General features: G+C 43.8%; 1 long non-coding RNA gene and 1 pseudogene across 1 annotated transcript, besides 4 other annotated features; one reads left to right on the top strand and one right to left on the bottom strand.

The window, feature by feature from the left end:
* On the top strand, positions 499 to 2,007 carry HMGN2P25 (high mobility group nucleosomal binding domain 2 pseudogene 25; annotated as a pseudogene).
* Positions 3,255 to 3,549: a silencer, noted in NCBI's record as "tiled region #4874; HepG2 Repressive non-DNase unmatched - State 24:Quies". NCBI's record gives its function as "represses a minimal TATA promoter and a strong SV40 promoter by Sharpr-MPRA in HepG2 cells {active_cell/tissue: HepG2}" and the evidence as "EXISTENCE:reporter gene assay evidence [ECO:0000049][PMID:27701403]".
* Positions 3,908 to 5,255: an enhancer, noted in NCBI's record as "VISTA enhancer hs2041". NCBI's record gives its function as "enhancer in: limb[3/7]" and the evidence as "EXISTENCE:transgenic organism evidence [ECO:0001131][PMID:17130149]".
* LOC105374134 (uncharacterized) lies at positions 4,653 to 14,327 on the bottom strand. The gene is made up of 3 exons (XR_924551.3): positions 14,211 to 14,327; positions 7,296 to 7,459; positions 4,653 to 4,992 (listed from the first exon to the last, which is right to left on the bottom strand). It is a non-coding gene; the product is annotated as an uncharacterized LOC105374134 (long non-coding RNA).
* Positions 16,017 to 16,876: a transcriptional cis regulatory region, noted in NCBI's record as "candidate enhancer chr3.4238 targeted for multiplex CRISPR interference". NCBI's record gives its function as "positively regulates ATP1B3 gene expression with high confidence in K562 cells {active_cell/tissue: K562}" and the evidence as "EXISTENCE:mutant phenotype evidence [ECO:0000015][PMID:30612741]".
* Positions 17,024 to 17,168: a transcriptional cis regulatory region, noted in NCBI's record as "candidate enhancer chr3.4237 targeted for multiplex CRISPR interference". NCBI's record gives its function as "positively regulates ATP1B3 gene expression with high confidence in K562 cells {active_cell/tissue: K562}" and the evidence as "EXISTENCE:mutant phenotype evidence [ECO:0000015][PMID:30612741]".

The following is a 20,666-nucleotide window of genomic DNA, read 5'->3' as shown; positions in this document are numbered from 1 at the left end:
GACTACAGGTGTGCACCACCAGATCTGGCTAATTTTTTTGTATTTTTTTTTTTTTTGTAGAGATGGGGGTCTTGCCTTGTTGCCCAGGCTGGTCTTGAACTCCTGAGCTCAAGTGATCCATCTGCCTTGGCCTCCCAAAGTGCCCGGCCAATCATGATTCTTTAGATAGTCTATGATTTTAAAAGTCCCTCATTGGTCCAGAATAATGGAGGTAAAGAAAATACTTTCCATATCCTGGAGTCTAGGGCATCCTTCTATGAATAAGGAAATGTAGCCTAAAAGAAAAGTAGGACCTATCTTTTTGCATTCCATCTTTATGTGAACAAAGATGTCTCAAACATAGTGATCAGAACTCATTCTTTCTATTCCAACAAGTCATGGGCTTCTGGTGTGTCTGCTAGACAATGCTTAGGGGAAAGTTGGAGCAATTCAAAATTTAAATTCAATTTCCTAGTTGCCAGGATTGTGTTATCTGATTTTATTAAGAAATAACTGATGGAGCAGTATGAAGAGGCGAGAAAGACCCCCAGACCAACCAAAGCCTGCACCCCACTGCATCCCACGCCCCGCGCCTACGTCCCGCCAGCGCTGCCACCATGCCCAAGAGAAAGGCTGAAGGGGATACTAAAAGAGATAAAGCCAAGGTGAAGGACGAACCACAGAGAAGATCCGTGAGGTTGTCTGCTAAGCCTGCTCCTCCAAAGCCAGAGCCCAAGCCTAAAAAGGCCCCTGCAAAAAAGGGAGAGAAGGTACCCAAAGGGAAAAAGGGAAAAGCTGATGCTGGCGAGGAGGGGAATAACCCTGCAGAAAATGGAGTTGCCAAAACAGACCAGGCACAGAAAGCTGAAAGTCCTGGAGATGCCAAGTGAAGTGTCTGCATTTTTGATAACTGTGTACTTCTGGTGACTGTACAGTTTGAAATACTATTTTTTAATCAAGTTTTATAAAAATGCAGAATTTTGTTTTGCTTTTTTTCTTAAAGCTTTGTTGTTAGCACACAGAACACTTCATTGTTTTAGGGGGTGGGGCATATGTCCCTAACAGAATGTCTCTGAAGCTGGATTGATGTGGGGAAAACACCTTTCCCTCCTAGTTTTGAGAGACTTCCTCTTGGCTCCCAGGAGGAGGGATTCCCTGACTTTGACACAGATGGCCCCTTGGCAAAAAAGCCTTGTGTTATAGAAAAACAAATTCGTTTTTGTGTCCTCTTCTCCCTTTCCACCTTTCAGCGTAGGCTTAACTCCCTTAAACCCAGACATCTGTTGGGACCTGACCCCCAATTATTGGTTACCAGTGTATGAGGCAATCTGGACTTTCCAGTGATGCCAGTGAGATGGCACCCCTCAAAAGAGCAGTGGTTCCGTTTCTAGATTGTGGATCTTCAGATAAATTCTGCCATTTGCATTTCACTTCCTGAAAGTCAGGATTGACTCATGAAAAGCTGTTAAACAACATGCTAAATGTGAAATGTCAACCCTCATTCTATACTCTTCCCATTGAGAGCATCGAATGAAGACTTCATTGGGTTTTATAGTGACTTCCTGGGTTTTGGTAATCCATTAAAGAAGGGAGTTTGAAAGTTGTTGTAGGCTGGCCACGGTGGCTCACACCTGTAATCCCAGCACTTTGGAAGGCCGAGGTAGGCAGATCACGAGGTCAGGAGATCGAGACCATCCTGGCTAATATTGTGAAACCCTGTCTCTACTAAAAATACAAAAAATTAGCTGGGCATGGTGGCAGGTGCCTGTAATCCCAGTTACTCGGGAGGATGAGGCAGGGGAATCACTTGAACCTGGGAGGCGGAGGGTTGCAGTGAGCCGAGATCGTGCCACTGCGCCACTGTACTCTAGCCTGGGCGACAGAGCAAGACTCCGTCTCAAAAAAAAAGAAAAAAAAAAAAACAAGAAAGTTGTATACCGGTAACGATTGTCTGCCCATGTCCTGCCTGAAATACCATGATTGTTTATGGAAAGTATCTTTTATAAAGCTGGATACAGTTTGGCTTGGGGAAAAAAAGAGAAATAACTGACTTAACATTATTTAAATAATTCCTTTTCCTTTCAGTTTGACGTTTTGTTTTTAGTGGAAAATAATTGTGTCAGAGAAGTGACTATGTTCTTTGAAACAGGAACTACCTTTCACAATCTTATTAAGAAGAACATGAGGGAAAATTTAAATGTCTAGGCAATATCACAACAATATTTCCTAAGAGACTTGATAATGTCTCCAGGGGCATGGGAATTCAAGTTCCTTGATTCTAGTTATTGTGTTGCAACTGACTCACTCTAAGACTGTAGCTTAATTACTTTTACACAAATCACTATCTCTAATGCATTGTATACAAGTACATAACTCTACCTTACTGGGAATATTATGAGGAAAATTATCTTTTGGTTAAATGTTGGTTTGGGAGTTAAGAAATATCCATGAATACATATTATGTTTCAACTACCTGCAAATCACATAAGCTTGTATTAGTCAATGATTTTTTCCATAGCAGAAAACAGAAAGCAAAATTAAATTGACTTATACAATAAGGGAATCAGCCGGGCATGGTGGCTCATGCCTGTAATCCCAGGACTTTGGGAGGCTGAGGCAGGCAGATCAGTTGAGGTCAGGAGTTCGAGACCAGCCTGGTCAACATGGTGAAACTCTGTCTCTACTAAAAATACACACACACACACACAAATTAGCCGGTCATGGTGGCAGGTGCCTGTAATCCCAGCTGCTTGGGAGGCTGAGGCAGGAGAATTGCTGGAGCTGGGGAGGCAGAGGTTGCAGTGAGCCAAGATCACACCAACTGTACTCCAGCCTGGGTGACAGAGTGAGACTCCATCTCAAAAAAAAAAAAAAAAAAAAAGGAAATTTACAGGGATGAATATTGCTGAAAACTCTGGACGTTACTGGCTTCAGGAAAGTTTTCATCCAACGCCCCAATGATATAAACAAATCCTGAACTCCTGCTTTCCATTTATTGGTTTCATCACCTCAGGGTTAATTTCCAGAAGCTTCAGAGCGTACATGCTTTCAGGTTCAAATCCAGTAGAAAAGAGAGACTTAGCATTATCAATAGCTTAAAAAAATTTTTTTTGAGGCAGAGTCTTGTTGTGTCACCCGAGATGGAGTGCAGTGGTGTGATCATGGCTCACTGCAGCTTCAACCTCCTGGGCTCAAGGGATCCTCCCACTTCAGTCTCTTGAGTCCAGGTGCATACCCTCACACCTGGTTAATTTTTAATTTTTATTTTATTTTGAAGAGATGGGGTCTTGCTATATTGCCTAGGCTGGTCTCGAACTCCTGGCCTCAAGTGATCATCTTGCATCAGCATTCCAAAGTGCTGGGATTACAGGTGTGAGCACTGCCCTGACTTGGGTACTGTGTTCATCCTAAAGTAATCATCAAAGACCAGACAGATGGAATGTGTTGATTGAGTCAAGCCCAACAGGATCTAATCTTGACCTTGGGGGTGGAGTCAGTGCCCCTTAAATACATCATGCAGAAATTTGGAATAGTGTTAAGAAGAGGGAAGGCAAGATAAATCGTACAACCTTCTATTTATAATATTTATTTATTACTTTTTTTAATTTTTTGAGATGGAGTCTCGCTCTGTTGCCCAGGCTGGAGTGCAATGGCACGATCTCGGCTCACTGCAACCTCTGACTCCCTGGTTCAAGCGATTCTCCTGCCTCAGCCTCCCGAATAGTTGAGACTGCAGGCACCTGCCATCACGCCCAGCTAATTTTTTGTATTTTTAGTACAGACGGGGTTTCACCATGTTGGCTGGGCTGGTCTTGAGCTCCTGGTCTTGATTCACCCACCTCAGCCTTCCAAAGTGCTGGGATTATAGGCGTGGGCCACTGTGCCTGGCCACAACCTTCTATTTAAATGCCTTAAATAACTAGCATTTCAACCTAGAGTCATTCATGCATTTGTTAACTCATTCAACAAACATTTTTTCAGGATTCACTATGTGCAAAGTCTCGACTCCATTTCCAGGCTCTTCTTTAAGAGCAAGCACCAAGAACTTGTCCTCAGACTGAAAACAGAATTATGAGAGAGATTAGGGAAACAGGTTTCCCAAAAACTTCCATATTTTTAGCCTGGTTCCTTACATTTTCAGGTATCTAGGAAAGGAAGAGAAACAGCCATCCACCTTCCCACACACCCTACCCAAGCACATCTCCCTGATGTATTTCTATCATTCACAATTTAGGGAGCTATAGACTCCTCCGAAGCTATTCACAGCCCCACTTTAAGCCTCTTGGGCTATATATTCACTAAGATCCTTTCTGGATACAAGACATACAATGATATTGTGATTTGACATTGACATTTGAAAACAGACTCTTGTTTTGTTTTGTTTTGAATGTCCAAGGAAAGATAAGCACATTCTACGTCTTGAAAGAGATCATCCTTTACCTAGGTTAAGATGAGGGGTAATTAGAGCATTTAGTGGTTGGACTTAGGTTTTCACGTGCCACCTAAGTCCTATGTGGAGCTAGATCAGACAACTCAATCTCTCTAACATGTGGGTTATACAAAATGAGAAAGAACAGGAAATGCTCATATATATTTTGGATCTTGCCACTGGCTGAGCAGGAAGCTGCAAGAGAGATAACAGATGATTAAGGCCTCTCCCCAGGCTCCTTTTGGGAAAGCAGCTTTTGGGAAAACACGTGTAGAAAATGAGAGACAAGTACAACTGAAATGCTTCAACCACGCTTTGTCCGTGTCTGCCGTGTTTACAAAGCATTCTGAAATAACCAAATGAAGTTGCTCCACATCCAGAAAAGTCCTGGTGATTGTACAGTGGCCTGGTGTTAAGCACAGCTTTTTTTTTTTTTTTTCCTAAATCTGTAGCCCTGAGAATAAATCCATTTGTATTTCCTTTTCTTGAGGAAGGAAATGTTCTGGTGCTCAACAGGATGTCCTGATCCTCTCCGTGTAGGCTTTGGTGCTAGCTCCAGTGTCCCGGGTTGAGGGCAGGCACACCTAAAGTAAAGGTAGAAAGTGAGAGAAGAACTGAAAAAGGGAGGCCAAGTTGGAAAACTTGAGAAAGACAATAGCAGGCCTGGGGACTCAATTTGGAAAATGATAGGAAGTAAAATGTCCTTTGATTCTCACCAGGATTCAACTCAAAATCACAGTAAACATTTTAACAGGAGTCTTATACATAGTGCTGAGGGAGGAAATGGCAGTACAGTACAAAGGTGGGATGTTATTTCTATGACAAATGAAAGTTGGCCACCAAGAAACTCAAATCCTAGCTTCAGCCTGCATCTTGGCCTCGTGTTGTGTTCTGTGGGACATTCCCCAAGAGTATGGCTTCTGAGCTGACACAGCCACTTGCTGCCTGTGGCCTTTGGGGATGGACTGTCTCCAACAGGCTGGTACTAGCAGAGATTAACTTCCTTTTGTGGTTCCCAGATTTACATGTAGAACTGATCCTCAAACTGTTACTTTGGAAGTTAGAACAAAGTGTTGACTTGCCAAGTCTTTGTAAAGGGGGCTTAGTTATATGATGCCCTTCAGGCACTTTGGGCTTCTTAGATGTGCCAGTGTTCTAAAGTGAATGTGTTTTGATTTCTGGGGTTAACTTCAGGGTTAGAAGGCGGGTGCACACACCAAACAAAAGGCTTGTTGTCTTCATCATTTTTTTCCCAGGGACCCAGGAAATAAAGGGGTCTTCTTTTCATAGCAGTAGTCTGTCAGTCTTTTCTGGCAGGAATTGAGATTCTGAGGAAGCAGTTAATATGTCTGGTGCAATAAATGTGACTTGGAAATTTGGCTGTCTCTTAACTATCCCCACCTCCTCTCCAGGCTCAGCATTTCCTTCAACACTGGGGTCAATGCTTAGGATAGGGTTGGTTTGACTCTATCCTGCCACTGCCTTGGCCTTAGTTTCCAGGTTTATAGTAACTGGTGTCTGCCTTACCTTCCTGTTCCTGGCTGACCCCTGCTCTGTTCCTAAGTCCCTGGTAATTACAGTCCCCTCCCAGTTTCTCAGTGAGGCGGTTGTTCTCTGTCCCCTCCGGTAACTAGATTCGCCTGACCTGGAGTCCAAAACTCCTATGCCTGAGTCATTCCCATATATCTCAGATGTCCTTGGCATAGAATCACTTGTCCACTCGCCTAACAAAGTATAAGAGTGTTCATATTTTCACTTAGGGCATAGATTTTAACTTTACCTTAATTTTTTAAAGTTTTTAATAAGCAGAAAAATTCACACCTGAATTATTAATTTGTTGAATGCCCTGAATCTCACTGAAAATAACTTAATTGTTAACATTGAATTGCATCAGCCAACAGGAACACAAAAAAGATGGGCCAAATAAACTGTACTATCACCTAACACCTCGTAACATAAGCAAAAGGAAACTTATTATCAATGTCATATGAACAACAAGTGCAAACATTCAATATGTGAACCTGCTGTAACAACCATTCTGGTCAAGGCTCCTGTTTTAGTTTTCATGAGATCAAAAGCTTAGGAATTCAGAATTGTGGTCATCCCCATTGAGTCAATTTTGGTAATTTATATGGACCAGACCTTCGTTATACAGCATCTGTAGCTGCAAAGTGATAGTCTGCTCTTGGTAAACTCTCCATCTTTCACATTATGTGGGGTTTATCTCCTCCTTGAACTCTTGGTAGAACCTTGCCTTATGGACCATGTGGACTTGTTTTCTTTTTTGAAGGTAGATCTTTGACTATTTCTTATATTACTATTGATAAGTTCAGGCTTTCTGTTCCTTGAGTCAATTTTGGTAATTTATATTTCTTTAGAAAGCCATTCTCCATGGTCTGGATTTTCAAATTCATTGGAATAAAGCTGCACATAGCACTTAAAAAATTTGAAATCTCTGCATTCTGTTTTCCTCTCTGATGTTATAGTGTCTTTTTTCTTTCTTTCTTTCTTTCTTTGTTTTTTTTCCTAGTTCATACTTGCCAAAGGCTTTCTATGTTTTGAGCTTGTTAAAACATCAAATTATTGTGTTGGGTTTTCTATTTCATATTATCTGTTTTATCTTTATTAATTCCTTCCTTCTACCTTCTCTGGTTTATTTGTTATTTTCTAGTTTCTAGAGTTGAAAGCTAAGTTCACTCATTTTCAATCTTTCTTGCTTTTTAACATCTGGATTTAACATTATAATTTTCTTCCTGATAAACAATTTTGTTATTTCTCAGTGTTTGAGATGCTTTGTCCTCCTTGTCACTGACTTCTAAATAATCCTACTGCCCAACCCTGTGGGAAAATTACCCCCACTGATACAAGACTTTACCATGTGACTTACTTTAGCCAATAAAACGTAAGTGGAAGTGCAGCCCACAATCTGAATCACAGTGTGATTCCATCATCTTTCTTTTCTTTCTACCAGAAGACCAGCAGTGTCCCACACAGGGCTGTTTCTTCAGCCTGCACACCAGACTGCAGATAACAAGGAGAGTGACAGCTGACCTGGGATGGTGATGGAGCGAGGGAGAAATAAATCTCTTGTAATCTCCTGATACAGTCTTAAATTCTCCAGTATGCATTTCTAAAGAGTTAAATGTCTTCCTATATAGCCAAAATAACATTTTCACATCTAACAAAATTAACATTTATTTCTTTTTTTATTTTTTTTGAGACGGAGTCTTGCTCTGTTGCTCAGGCTGGAGTGCAGTGGCACGATCTCAGCTCACTGCAACCTCTGCCTCCAGGGTTCAAGCGATTCTCTTGTCTCAGCCTCTCAAGTAGCTGGGACTACAGGCTTGTGCCACCATGCCCGGCTAATTTTTTGTATTTTTAGTAGAGATGGGGTTTCACCGTGTTAGCCAGGATGGTCTCAATCTCCTGACCTTGTGATTCCTCCATCTTGGCCTCCCAAAGTGCTGGGATTACAGGCGCGAGCCACCATGCCCGGCCCAATTTCTTAATATTATCTAATACTTAATACATACTCAAATTTCTTCATTTGGCTTCCAAATGTCCTTTATAGCTGGTTTGTACAGATCATGAACTAACCCAGAACCTCATATTCTATTTAATTATTATTATTATTATTTAACTGTCTTATTACACTGATTTTTTTAAGAGACCAGGCCTCCATCATATAGTTATGTTTTTCATCTCCTATGACCAGAAAGTGACCCAAGTGGTATAACTTTGGTACAGCATCAGTAACCAGTTTCCCATTCTTAGAGCTTTAAGGTCAACTGATAATCCTTGCCTGAATTGATAATTTCCTTAGGTACTACAAATGATTCTTTCAGTGTAAAGTAACGGTATAAATGTAAATGTAACCTATAAATGTATAAATGTAGAGTTTTCCCCTGTCATCTGGGATTATTTTGGTTTCTGCAGTAGAGTTGCTACTGCAAAGGCAGGATAAATGCCTACTTCTCCCTCGTTATCCACTTTCAAAGTAAACAGTTGTTTCAAATGGTGACACACAAGCTTTCTCTTACTGTTATAGACTTTGGATTTTTGGAGATTTGATGTGTTTCAATCAACTACAATCATTTTTCTTTTTTGATGTTCAAAGTCTTTCTTACGATATCCCTAATGATTTTTTTTTTCTTTTTTAGCTGGAGTGCAGTTGCGCGATCTCGGCTCACTGCAACCTCCAACTCCCTGGTTCAAGCAATTCTCTCGCCTCAGCCTCCCGAATAGCTGGGATTACAGGCACGTGCCACCATGCCCAGCTAATTTTTGTATTTTTAGTAGAAGGGTTTTACCAGATTGGCCAGGATGGTCTCAACTTCCTGACCTCGTGATCTGCCCACCTCGGCCTCCCAAAGTGCTGGGATTACAGGTGTGAGCCACCGTGTCCGTTCCCCAATGAAATTATTAATCCTAGTAGAATTCTTCACATGGGGAAACAAAAGCACAGGAACCAAAGTCACTGGACTCAGTAAGTCCCTAGAAATGATTAAAAGGGGAGAAAACATAAGACAGATAGGCAGGATGACAGCCACAGTCTGCCTGAGAGCGGCACAGTACATCACTGTGTACAACAGAAATCTGATTTGTCCCTTCTTGTAGCAATCCAAAGAACAGGGGGCCACAGGCAATGTTAGCTCTTAGAAAGAATCACCCCAAAATCATCATTGTTCACTTAAACAGCCAAACTGCTTCACCAGCTCATGCCCCTTCAAGCCAACACACTGTGTAGGTCAGATAAAGAACTAGTTGCACACCTTCAGTGATTAACAATCTATTTGGTGCCAGGCTGTGGTGGCACACACCTGTAGTTCCAGCTACTCAGGAGGCTGAGGCAGGAGAATCACTTCAGCTCAGAGGAGTTTGAGACCAGTCTGGGCAACACAATGAGACATTGTCTCTAAAAAATAAAAATAACCCATTTGGGAATAGTCATTGAGTTAACAAATATTTACTGTTAAGATGATGGGACAATAGGGCTAGGAATGATGGCTTATGCCTGTAATCCCAGCACCAAAGAGGCCAAGGCGGGTGGATCTTTTGAGCTCAGAAATTCGAGACCAGGCCGGACACGGTGGCTTATGCCTGTAATCCCAGCACTTTGGGAGGCTGAGGCAGGCTGATCACTTGAGGTCAGGAGTTTGAGACCAGCCTGGCCAACATGGTGAAACCCCATCTCTACTAAAAATACAAAAATTAGCCGAGCGTGGTGGCACGTGCCTGTAGTCCCAGCTACCCCAAAGGCTGAGGCAGGAGAATCGCTTGAACCCTGGAGGCAGAGGTTACAGTGAGCCGAGATTGCACTGTTGTGCCCTGGCCTGGGCAACAGAATGAGATTCCGTCTCAAAAAAAAAAAAAAAGGGTTGGGCGCAGTGGCTCATGCCTGTAATCTCAGCACTTTGGGAGGCCGAGGCAGGTGGATAACCTGAAGTCGGGGGTTCGAGACCAGCCTGACCAACATGGAGAAACCCCGTCTCTACTAAAAATACAAAAATTAGCTGGGCATGGTGGCACATGCCTGTAATCCCAGCTACTCGGGAAGCTGAGGCAGGAGAAGTGCTTGAACCCGGGAGGTGGAGGTTGTGGTGAGCTGAAATCAGGCCATTGCACTCCACCCTGAGCAACAAGAGTGAAACTCCATCTCAAAAAAAAAAAAAAGAGAGAGAAAAGAAAAGAAATTCGAGACCAGCCTGGCCAACATGGTGAAACCCCATCTCTACAAAAAATACAAAAATTAGCCGGGTGTGGTGGCATGTGCCTGTGGTCCCAGCTACTTGGTAGCCTGAGGTGGGAGCATCACTTGCGTCCAGGAGATGGAGGTTGCAGTGGGCCAAGATTGGGCCACTGCACTCCAGCCTGGGTGACAGAGTGAGATCTTGTCTAAAAAAAAAGAAAAAAAAAAAAGATAATTTGACAATAAATATTAACTATCAAGCGATCAGCACTACTGAGACTCTAAAGAGGAAGGAAGCCCTTCTAGCTGTAGAGGTCTTGGGAGTTACATTGAAAGAGATGGGGTTGGAGTAAGGCCTTGAGGACTGGGTGGTAATTTATTATATGAAGATGGGGTTGGGAGGGTGGTACCCAGCCCATGGGATAGGGAGCACTAGCAGGAGAGGACAGAGTTTTATATAGGATTATAGGAATATAAACTTCGGTGTTTTATGGCCAGGTTATATATGCCTTTGAATTCCTGGCTAAACATTTAGATGGGATGTTGTAAGTAATAGAGAACTACTGTAGGTGTTTTCAGTATAAGGCGGAGGGAATGATGGCTAGGCTCTTGAATTTAAGTTGTAAGGATCAGGCTCAGAAATCCACTCCCCTCTTCTAAGTTATTGATAACTAATACAGAAGAATCATTGAGAAAATCTAAAGTGAAAAAAAACCACCTACAGGGCAGTTTGCTTGCATTTGCGTTAGATGTGCACGTCTAAAATTTTACACACAGAATATATCTGGAAGAACACAGGAGCCACTGGTGGCTATGGCTGCCTCCCAGTGGAGAAACTAGGTGCCATTTACTCCAAATCACTGGTTACAGTGATTCTGTGACAAAATTAGCTAGATGAGGAAGCAGTATTTAATTTCATTTTGGTTTGGTTTAGTTTTTAATTACAAGAGAGGATGGGTGTTGTACAAGAGCATAGGATGTGACATCAGAGGGTCCTTATGACCCAGCCTCTGCTGCCTTTCTATGACTATGTGTGACTATGTGACCTTAGGAGAGACACCATCCTCTAAGACTCAACTCCCTCATCTGTAAAACAAGGACAAGAAAACATCCTTTACAGGGGTTTGATGAGAACCTACGTGAAGATGATATAAAGCACCATGTGGACCAGGCACAGTGGCTCACGCCTGTAATCCCAACACTTTGGGAGGCTGAGGCGGGCAGATCATTTGAGGTCAAGAGATCGAGACCAGCCTGGCCAGCATGGTGAAACCACATCTCTACTAAAAATACAAAAATTAGCCGGGTGTAGTGGTGGGTGCCTATAATCCTAGCTACTGAGGCAGGAGAATTGCTTGAACCTGGGAGGTGGAGGTTGCAGTGAGCCGAGATCATGCCATTGCACTCCAGCCTGGGCAACAAGAGTGAAACTCCGTAAAAAAAAAAAAAAAAAAAAAAAAAAAAGGCAGCATGTAAGTGAAACTTTGAAAACAATTTTTTATTTTTATTTTCATAGAGACAGCGTCTCACTATGTTGCCCAGGCTGGTCTCAAACTCCTGGGCTCAAGTGATCCTCCTCCTCAGTCTCCCAAAGTGCTGGGATTATAGATGCAAGCCACTGTGCCCTGCAGAAACTTTTAAAAAATGATTACATCAAAAATGTTTCATGTTCTGAAAATGCCTTGAGCGCTGTAGATTCAGTTCCAATTTTTAAATACGGACATGCAGCGCCGGTGAGGTTAACAGGCAGACCTGGCAGGTGCAGCCACTGCTCAGCAGAGTTCCTCGGCAGGCCAGGCGTGGATGGAAACTCCAAATTTCCATCACAAGGCATCAGATTTCCCCTCTCTAAGACCAAGTAACTAAGCAATTTTTACAAATTATGCACAGGATGAAGCTTTCTGAGAGGCTGGGGTGTGCTGGTTTTATCCAGCCATGGCGAACAGAAGAATCACCTGCCTCCTTCCCCAGCCCGACCCTTTGCCCAGCATCAGGCCCCTGGCACAGTCATATTTCAGAGGAAGGTCTGGTGAGCTCTTGAGTTTCTGGTGTGAGGTTTGAGAGGGATTTGTGGAGTGTCACTTCTGGAAAGCAAACCGTAATACAGAGCACTAACTTAATTGTTATTCCTAGGGTTTTCTGCGTAGACATCTTACCACAGACAGCGTTAACAGAAGCAGTTGATTCTCAGGGCACTGTTCTGGAAATGGTGTAAAAGAATGGATCATTCCTCATTTTGCCATTCATAGACAAGTCTCTATTAGGCAATAGAAAAAGTCTGTGCAATTGTATCAACTGTAATCTGGAAAGTAGCCACACCCTCCTTCCAGAACTTCCCTCTTCACACACAAAGCTTTTTCCTTTTGAAAATGAAATTTGTATTCTATTTATAGGAAGAAATGTGTGTTTCTTTCTCAAACTATTATCTAAGATTACATCAGTTTCACATTACATCCAAGCTGACCACTTTCTTCTGAGTGGCAACATAAATTTACATGGACCCAGTGAATTTTGCCAGTGCATCATGTCCTAGAATAAGGGCAAAGCTAATAAATTGCTTCATTTATCCAAGAGCAACGCCAGATTGAAGGCACACACAAAGGAAAATTAATACGCGAAGGAAGAAGACAGAAACAAAGGAGAAGCCAGGCACAGTGACTCACGCCTGTAATCCAAGCACTTTGGGAGGCTGAGGTGGGTCGATGATTTGAGGTCAGGAGTTCAAGACCAGCGTGGCCAACATGGTGAAACCCCGTCTCTACTAAAAATACAAAAAATTAGGGCCGGGTGCGGTGGCACATGCCTGTAATCCTAGCACTTTGGGAGGCCAAGGCGGGCGGGTCACAAGGTCAGGAGATGGAGAATACCCTGGCCAACACCGTGAAATCCCGTCTCTACTAAAAATACAAAAAAAAATTAGCCGGGCGTGGTGGCGGGCACCTGTAGTCCCAGCTACTTGGGAGGCTGAGGCAGGAGAATGGCATGAACCCGGGAGGCAGAGCTTGCAGTGAGCCGAGATAGTGCCACTGCACTCCAGCCTGGGCAACAGAGCAAGACTCCATCTAAACAAACAAACAAAAAAATTAGGCGGGCGTGGTGGTACGTGCCTGTAATCTCAGCTACTTGGGGAGCTGAGGCAGGAGAATTGCTTGAACCTGGAAGGTGGAGGTTGCAGTGAGCTGAGATTGCACCACTGCACTCCAGCCTGGATGACAGAGTGAGACTCTGTCTCAAAACAAAAAACAACAACAACAAACAACAACAACAACAACAAAAAACAAAGGAGAAACCAGCGTGCTTTTAGTACAATGTCAGGAAATTATTTAACATAGCCATTTCGACATGCTAAATATTTTGCAGGTAGAGACGGTCCCTGACAATGGTTCACCTTTAAGATGGCATGAAAGTGATATACGTTCAGTAGAAAGCAGTATGATACTCTTTTGACAAGCTGGGCCAGTCCCTGTCAGCCACACCATAAACTGTGTTGCTCAGCTGCAGGTAATGTAAGAATGTTGATTGCGTTTAAGGTAGGCTAGGCTAAGTTACAATGTTCTGCATGTTAGGTGTATTAAGTGCATTTTCGACTTATGATATTTTCACCTTACCATGAGTTTATTGGAACGTAACCCCATCATAAGTTGAGGAGCATCTGTATTTCAGTATTTAATACAACAACCTTATGAGATAAGTGTTATTCTTATCCCTATTTTAAACCAAGGAAACCTCAAACAGAATGGTTAAATAACTTGGTTAAGGTCATGCACTAAAACCTATTCTCCATAAGGACACTTCTTCCCCAGACACCCTTTCAAATGGGGCCTTTCTTCTCTCCCCTACTCATCTTGGACCACTGGCCTGGAGGTGAAGGAGGTATACTCATTTCTCCCAACTGCTGCTTCAAGACCACCATTCCTCTCTTCTTCAAAGCTTTCAGCTTTGAAGCTGTCATCTGAATATTTACTAAATATTCAGCTTTGTTGAATCAACTGTAGACTCGGGTCACTGCTCTGAATTCCTTGAAGAGTTCCATTCCCTGTCACTTCAGATTCTTGGTGACTTCACAAACAGTCTTTCCAAATGCCCCGCCTGCCAGTGCCTTGACCACCTCACCTCCAACAATGTTGTCATTCTACCCTGGACCTGTGCCGGAGGCCAGCTCATTGCTCACCAAATCTGTTTCCTCTCCTTTCCGGGCAGGCTACATATGCACTTCTCCTTTGTAACAATGGCTTCATGACTGAGTTCTGGACAAAGGGATTTGCAGTCCTCTGCTTGCTCTCTCATTATTTGCTAGCCAGATGGAGAGGATGCAATGGAGTGTTATAAGGCCCTGGAACAGCGCAGTCCAGTAGAAATGGAAGCCAAGTCACATATGTGATTTTAAATTTTCAAGTAGCTATATTTAAAAATGCAAAAAGAAACAGGTATGGCTGGGCACGGTGGCTCACACCAGTAATCCCAGCACTTTGGGAGGCAGAGGCGGGCAGATCACTTGAGGTCAGGAGTTCGAGACTAGCCTGACCACCATGGCAAAACCCTGTCTCTACTGAAAATACAAGAATTAGCCGGGCGTGGTGGTGCATGCCTGTAACCCCAGCTACTCAGAAACAGACAGGAGAAAAACTTGAACCTGGGAGGCGGAGGCTGCAGTGAGCTGAGATCGCACCACTGCACTCCAGGGTGGGCAACAGAATGAGATCCTGTCTCAAAAACAAAAACAAAAACAAAAAACAGGTAAAATTAATTTTAATAGTACATTTTATTTAATCCAGCATATTAAAAATATCATTTCAACATGTTATCAATATAAAAATTATAAGTGAGGTATTTTGTATCTTTTTTTCATATTAAGTCTTTGAAATCTAGTGTGTAATTTACACTTAACAGCACCTATCAATTCAAATGTTAAGTTTACGTCAAAAATACTTGATCTGGGCTGGTCATGGTGGCTCACACCTGTAATATCAACTCTTTGGCAGGCCAAGGAGGATCACTTAAGGCCAAGAGTTCAAGACCAGCCTGAGCAACATAGTGAGACCCCCATCTCCACAAAAATAAATTTAAAAAATTAGCTGGGGATGGTGATGTGAGCCTGTACTCCTAACTACTCGGGAGGCTGAGATGGGAGGATCACTTGAGCCCAGGAGTTGGAGCTGCAGTGAGTTGTAATTGCGCCACTGTACTCCAGCCCAGGTCACAGAGCGAGACCTCATGTCTTTAAAAAATCACAACAAAAAATTGATCTGTATTTAATTTTTTTATAGTAAAGTGAAAGCAAGTTTATTGAGAGAAACGAAAGAATAGCTACTCCATAGGCAGAACAGCCAATCTGTATTTAACTTCATAAAGTAGTTGCACATATCCAAATTGTTCCAAACATACTTTCAAAATATTAAATTAAATTTTTTTTTGGAGATGGAGTCTCACTCTGTCGCCCAGGCTTGAGTGCAATGGCATGGTCTCAGCTCACTGCAACCTCCACCTCCCAGGTTCAATCGATTCTCCTGCCTCAGCCTCCTCAGTAGCTGGGATTACAGGTGTTTGCCACCATGCCTGGCTCATTTTATTGTATTTTTAGTAGAGACGATGTTTCACCATGTTGGCCAGGCTGGTCTCAAACTCCTGACCTCGTGACCCACCCGCCTCGGCCTCCCAAAGTGCCGGGATTACAGGCTTGAGCCACCGTGCCCGGCCAAAATTTAAATTTTTAAAATGAAAAATTCAGTTTCTTAGTTGCTCAAGTCACATTTCCAATGTTTAGTAACCACATGTAGCTGGTGGCTACCGTATTAAACAATGCAGTCCAAGCCACCATGGAAAGAGCCCAGGACCCTGAATGACTGAGCTGACCCTGAGCAACCCCACCAACAAGCCTTGGGTTGCGATTTGAACAAGAAATAAACCTTTATGTGCTGAGCCACTAAGAATGAGGGATTGTTTGTTATAGCAATTAGCTTGAACCAGTACACAACCTTGACTATCACCCTCCATGGTCAGACATTGTTATTACCAATAGCTCTGCCTCCTCCATAACCTCTATTCAATCCTCCTTCTCTCCTGGCCTGCTATATTTTCAGCTCCTTTCTTCTAATACTGCAATTGTAGTCATGTGTCGGCCCCACCCTCCTCCTTGCCCGTCAGCCCTCAACATCCACTTTCTACTTCCTTCGTACACCCTCAATTCCTTGGCCCTGCCTCATTTGACTGTGTCTCCTAGCAAAACCACAGCTGCGGCAGAGCTTTTCTACCTGTACTCAGCTGAATGTGGACACACAGAACCATGCTACTTGCCTCACTTTAACTAGCAAACATGTTGAATTCCTTTTATATAGGAATTCATGGCTAATTCAAGTCAAATTAGCAAGGAAAAGATTCAAAGCACCTTGATCAAGAAAGGTTAACTGGATGGAAAAGGAATCACCATCAGGCCTTTCTTTAGTACTGCTGGAAATCCTCCTCCATTTCCATTCTAGAATGCCGTTTCCCAATTTCTCTTCTCTTCAACCCTTCCCTCCTCTTCAACCCTTCCCTCCTCCTCCCCGTCCTGCTTCTCCTTATCAGCTTCTGCCTAAGCTGCCTGTTTCTAACAAGATATCAGCAATCAAAAGAGCCACTCGAGGCCGGGCATGGTGGCTCACGTTTGTAATCCCAGCACTTTGGGAGGCCGAGGTGGGCGGATCACTTGAGGTCAGGAATTCAAGACCAGCTTGGCCAACATGGTGAAACTCTGTCTGTACTAAAAATACAAAAATTAGCCGGGCGTTTTGGCACATGACTGTAATCCCAGCTACTCGGGAGGCTGAGGCAGGAGAATCGCTTGAACCCGGGAGGCAGAGGTTGCAGTGAGCCAAGATTGCACCACTGCACTCCAGCCTGGGTGACACAGAAAGACTCTGTCTCAAAAAAAAAAAAAAAAAAAAAAAAAAGACACTCCATGTGCTCCTGCAGCCACCCAACCAACCTCTGCGCTGCAGCCCGTCCCCTCTCACCCCTCACACATTCCAGCAACTGTGCCTCTTTTTCTTGAATCATTTTTATTTTGTTTTAGACTTTTAAAATATGTATTTACTGTAAATTCAGTGCAGAACACCAGTCTAAAATATGTTGTTTGGTGAACTTTTGCATATGTAAATCCCTCTGTTACTGCCACCCAGATCAAGATACAGAGCATTTCCAGTACCCCTGAAGGCTTCCCCATGTCCCATTCAAGCAAGTACCTAGACTATATTACTCAGGGCTACATGTTGGATGGAGTCCAACACCAGTATCCTTGCCCTAACGCACAGGCCAGTTGTAGACTGCTGTGTGTGTGTGTGCGTGTGTGTGTAATTTCTTCAATCTCTAGTTCACCTGACTCATTTTCTTTTTTTTTTGAGACAGAGTCTCACTCTGTTGTCCAGGCTGGAGTGCAGTGGCACAATCTCAGGTCACTGCAACCTCCACCTCCCAGGTTCAAGTGATTCTCCTGCCTCAGCCTCCCGAGCAGCTGGGACTACAGGTGTGCGCCACCACGCCCAGCTAATTTTTGTATTTTTATTAGAGACAGGGTTTCACCATATTAGCCAGGCTGGTCTTGAACTCCTGACTGCATGATCCACCTGCATCAGCCACCCAAAGTGCTGGGATTACAGGCGTGAGCAACCACACTTGGCTCTTTTTTTTTTTTTTAGATGGAGTCTCACTGTGTCGCCCAGTCTGGAGTGCAGTGGCACGATCTTGGCTCACTGCAACCTCTGCCTCCTGGATTCAAGTGATTCTCCTGCCTCAGTCTCCCTAGTAGCTGGGACTACAGGCGCACACCACCATGCTCGGCTAATTTTTGTATTTTTGGTACAGACGAGTTTTCACCATGTTGGCCAGGCTGGTTTTGAGCTCCTGACCTCGTGATCCGCCTTGGCTTCCCAAAGTGCTGGGATTACAGGCATGAGCCACCATGCCTGGCCCACCTGATTCATTTTCTGTTTGAGATCTGGAAGCTGGTTTTCAACCCTGATACTTTTTTTTTTTTTTTTAAACCCTGATCCTTGATCCAACCTCTGGCCTAACTCCTTTTTCCTTCATCGTGATGGCACATACCCTGCTGGGTTTGCCAGGATCCACCCATAGGACTTGGACACAGAAGAGAAACTGGGGCGAGGGAATTCAAGTTGTACATGGGCAGATTTCAGCTCCATGAACTGAAGCAGGGACCCTGTCGCTGGGCATGTGCAAGAAGCAGCTGCAGGGCCACATCTGGGCATGGAGCAAAGGGAACTCTTGGACTGTGAGGGAGTTGAAAACCATCATCTTGACAATTTCTTCCAAATCTAATCTCCTGTGGGACCGAGAACTGACTGTACAAAGTGATCTAGGGCGTCAGTCAAGGACACGACCCTTTATGCTGATGATCCATTTTGCATTCCAGAAAATAGTGATAGAGTTTCAGATTTAACCATTTTGAGCCTCTTTCTTCAGCTGTAAGAGTCAGGAAAACAGCTGGGCACGGTGGCTCACGCCTGTAATCCCAGCACTTTGGGAGGCCGAGGCGGGAGGATCACCTGAGGTTGGGAGTGCAAGACCAGCCTGACCAACATGGAGAAACCCCATCTCTACTAAAAATACAAAATTAGCCAGGCATGGTGGCATATGCCTGTAATCCCAGCTACTCGGGAGGCTGAGGCAGGAGAATTGCTTGAACCTGGGAGGCAGAGGTTGCAGTGAGCCGAGATCACGCCATTGCACTCCAGCCTGGGCAACAAGAGCGAAACTCTGTCTCAAAAAACCCCACAAAAATTAGCCGGGCATGGTGGCGGGTGCCTTAGTCCCAGCTACACAGGAGGCTGAGGGCAGGAGAATCGTTTGAACCTGGGAGGCAGAAGTTGCAGTGAGCCGAGATCACATCACTGCACTCCAGCCTGGGTGACAGACTGAGACTCCATCTCAAAAAATAAAATAAAATATAATAAAATAAATAAAATTTTCAAAATATTATATATAGGCTGAGTGCGGTGGCTCACACCTGTAATCCCAGCACTTTGGGAGGCTGAGGTGGGCGGATCACTTGAGGTCAGGAGTTCGAGACCAGCCTGCCAACATGGTGAAACCCTGTCTCTACTAAAAACACAAAAATTAGCCGGGCGTGGTGGCATGCGCCTATAGTCCCAGGTACTCGGGAGGCTGAGGCATTAGAATTGCTTGAACCTGGGAGGCGGAGTTTGCAATGAGTTGAGATCGTGCCACTGCACTCCAGCCTGGTGAAAGAGCAAGACTCTGCCTCAAAAAAAAAAAAATTACTTATTGTATATACCAATCTTATAACTACATATTAATCTGTAGAGATATTTCTATGAAGATATGTATTCTTTCAGGCTCTTTGCTCCTTTGGAATCATATCATTAAATATCATTTTGTAATTTTTTTAAATTGTAGAGTAAACATTCCAGCCTATTAAACATTCTTTAATAACATTCCTATAAGGAAGTACAGAGATTTATTTAACTGGTTCCTTATTGTGGCCGTCTGGGTTGTTTCCAGGTTTTCCATATTATAAACAATACTGTGGTGCATATTCTTGTGTCTATTGTCTGATTATTTCCTTAGGATGGCTTCTTAGAAGTGGCATTGCTGGGTTAAAGGGAAAGGACATTTTCCAGGCTTCTGATTCTTATTACCAAAGTGCCCTCCTGAAACACGGTACCAGTTGTGTTCCTGACAACGGCCTATTTTTGAAAAAATTTAAGTCCAGCACATTGTAACAATGGAAGTTCAAGATAAACTGTAGCAGCTGGTTTCTGGGATGGTTTCTGTGTCAGATGAGCTGGGAAGCCCTGGGTTGAGGAGGGAGCCTCATAAGCTGGCTTGGACCCTGCAGGGAAGTCTTACTCTACTCACACCCGCATGTTTAGTGAGAAGCCCATTAGGTCAGATACAGTCTCTCCACTGGGGCAAAGTTCACTTAGGCACCTTTTGGCATAAGCAGGAAAGGAGGCCCTACCTTCAGCTCACCCAGCCCCACTTTCTCTGAGCCAGGTCAATGAAGCAAGCTGATGGCCTGGCCAGCCCAGCCAGCTTGGGGGCCTGTGGTTAGAATAAGCCACTTTGCTGCAGGCCTCACCATCCTTCTCTCCAAATTATCTGAAAACTGGCTATAGATCAGGTCCTGCATAGAAGCAGAAGCGCAGACAGCAGGGGGTGCTGCCAGCCACTTCTCTAGTCACCTCCCCTGTGCAGACGTGGGACCCCTTTCCCTGCTTGAGGCTTTTAAGAGCCTGGGCCCAGCCTTACCGGCAATATCAGTAAGCTCAGCACCTTCTCCCCCATTTCCCACGCACCAGACCTGGAGTAAATGGATAAGAATTCTCATTACACTTTTAAGTATTCTTTTTGCTGTTTTTGTTATCGCTATTGTTATCAGAAGTCAAATCTGAGGCAGAAAGGAAGGGAGGTCTTCGGAAAATCTTTGACCTCCAATTTCTTCAATAGCTTGTGGTTCCCAGCTTGTACGGTAATGTTTTAACATTTCCAAGCTGGACAGCAGACAAGGCGGTGGGGGTGGGGTAGTGTGTGTGTGTAGGGGAAGCATTGCTT

This window comes from Homo sapiens, chromosome 3, assembly GCF_000001405.40.
Source record: "Homo sapiens chromosome 3, GRCh38.p14 Primary Assembly".
Lineage (NCBI taxonomy): Eukaryota > Metazoa > Chordata > Mammalia > Primates > Hominidae > Homo > Homo sapiens.
The sequence above is the reverse complement of the archived record's forward strand: the minus strand, read 5'-3'. Positions and strand labels throughout refer to the sequence as shown.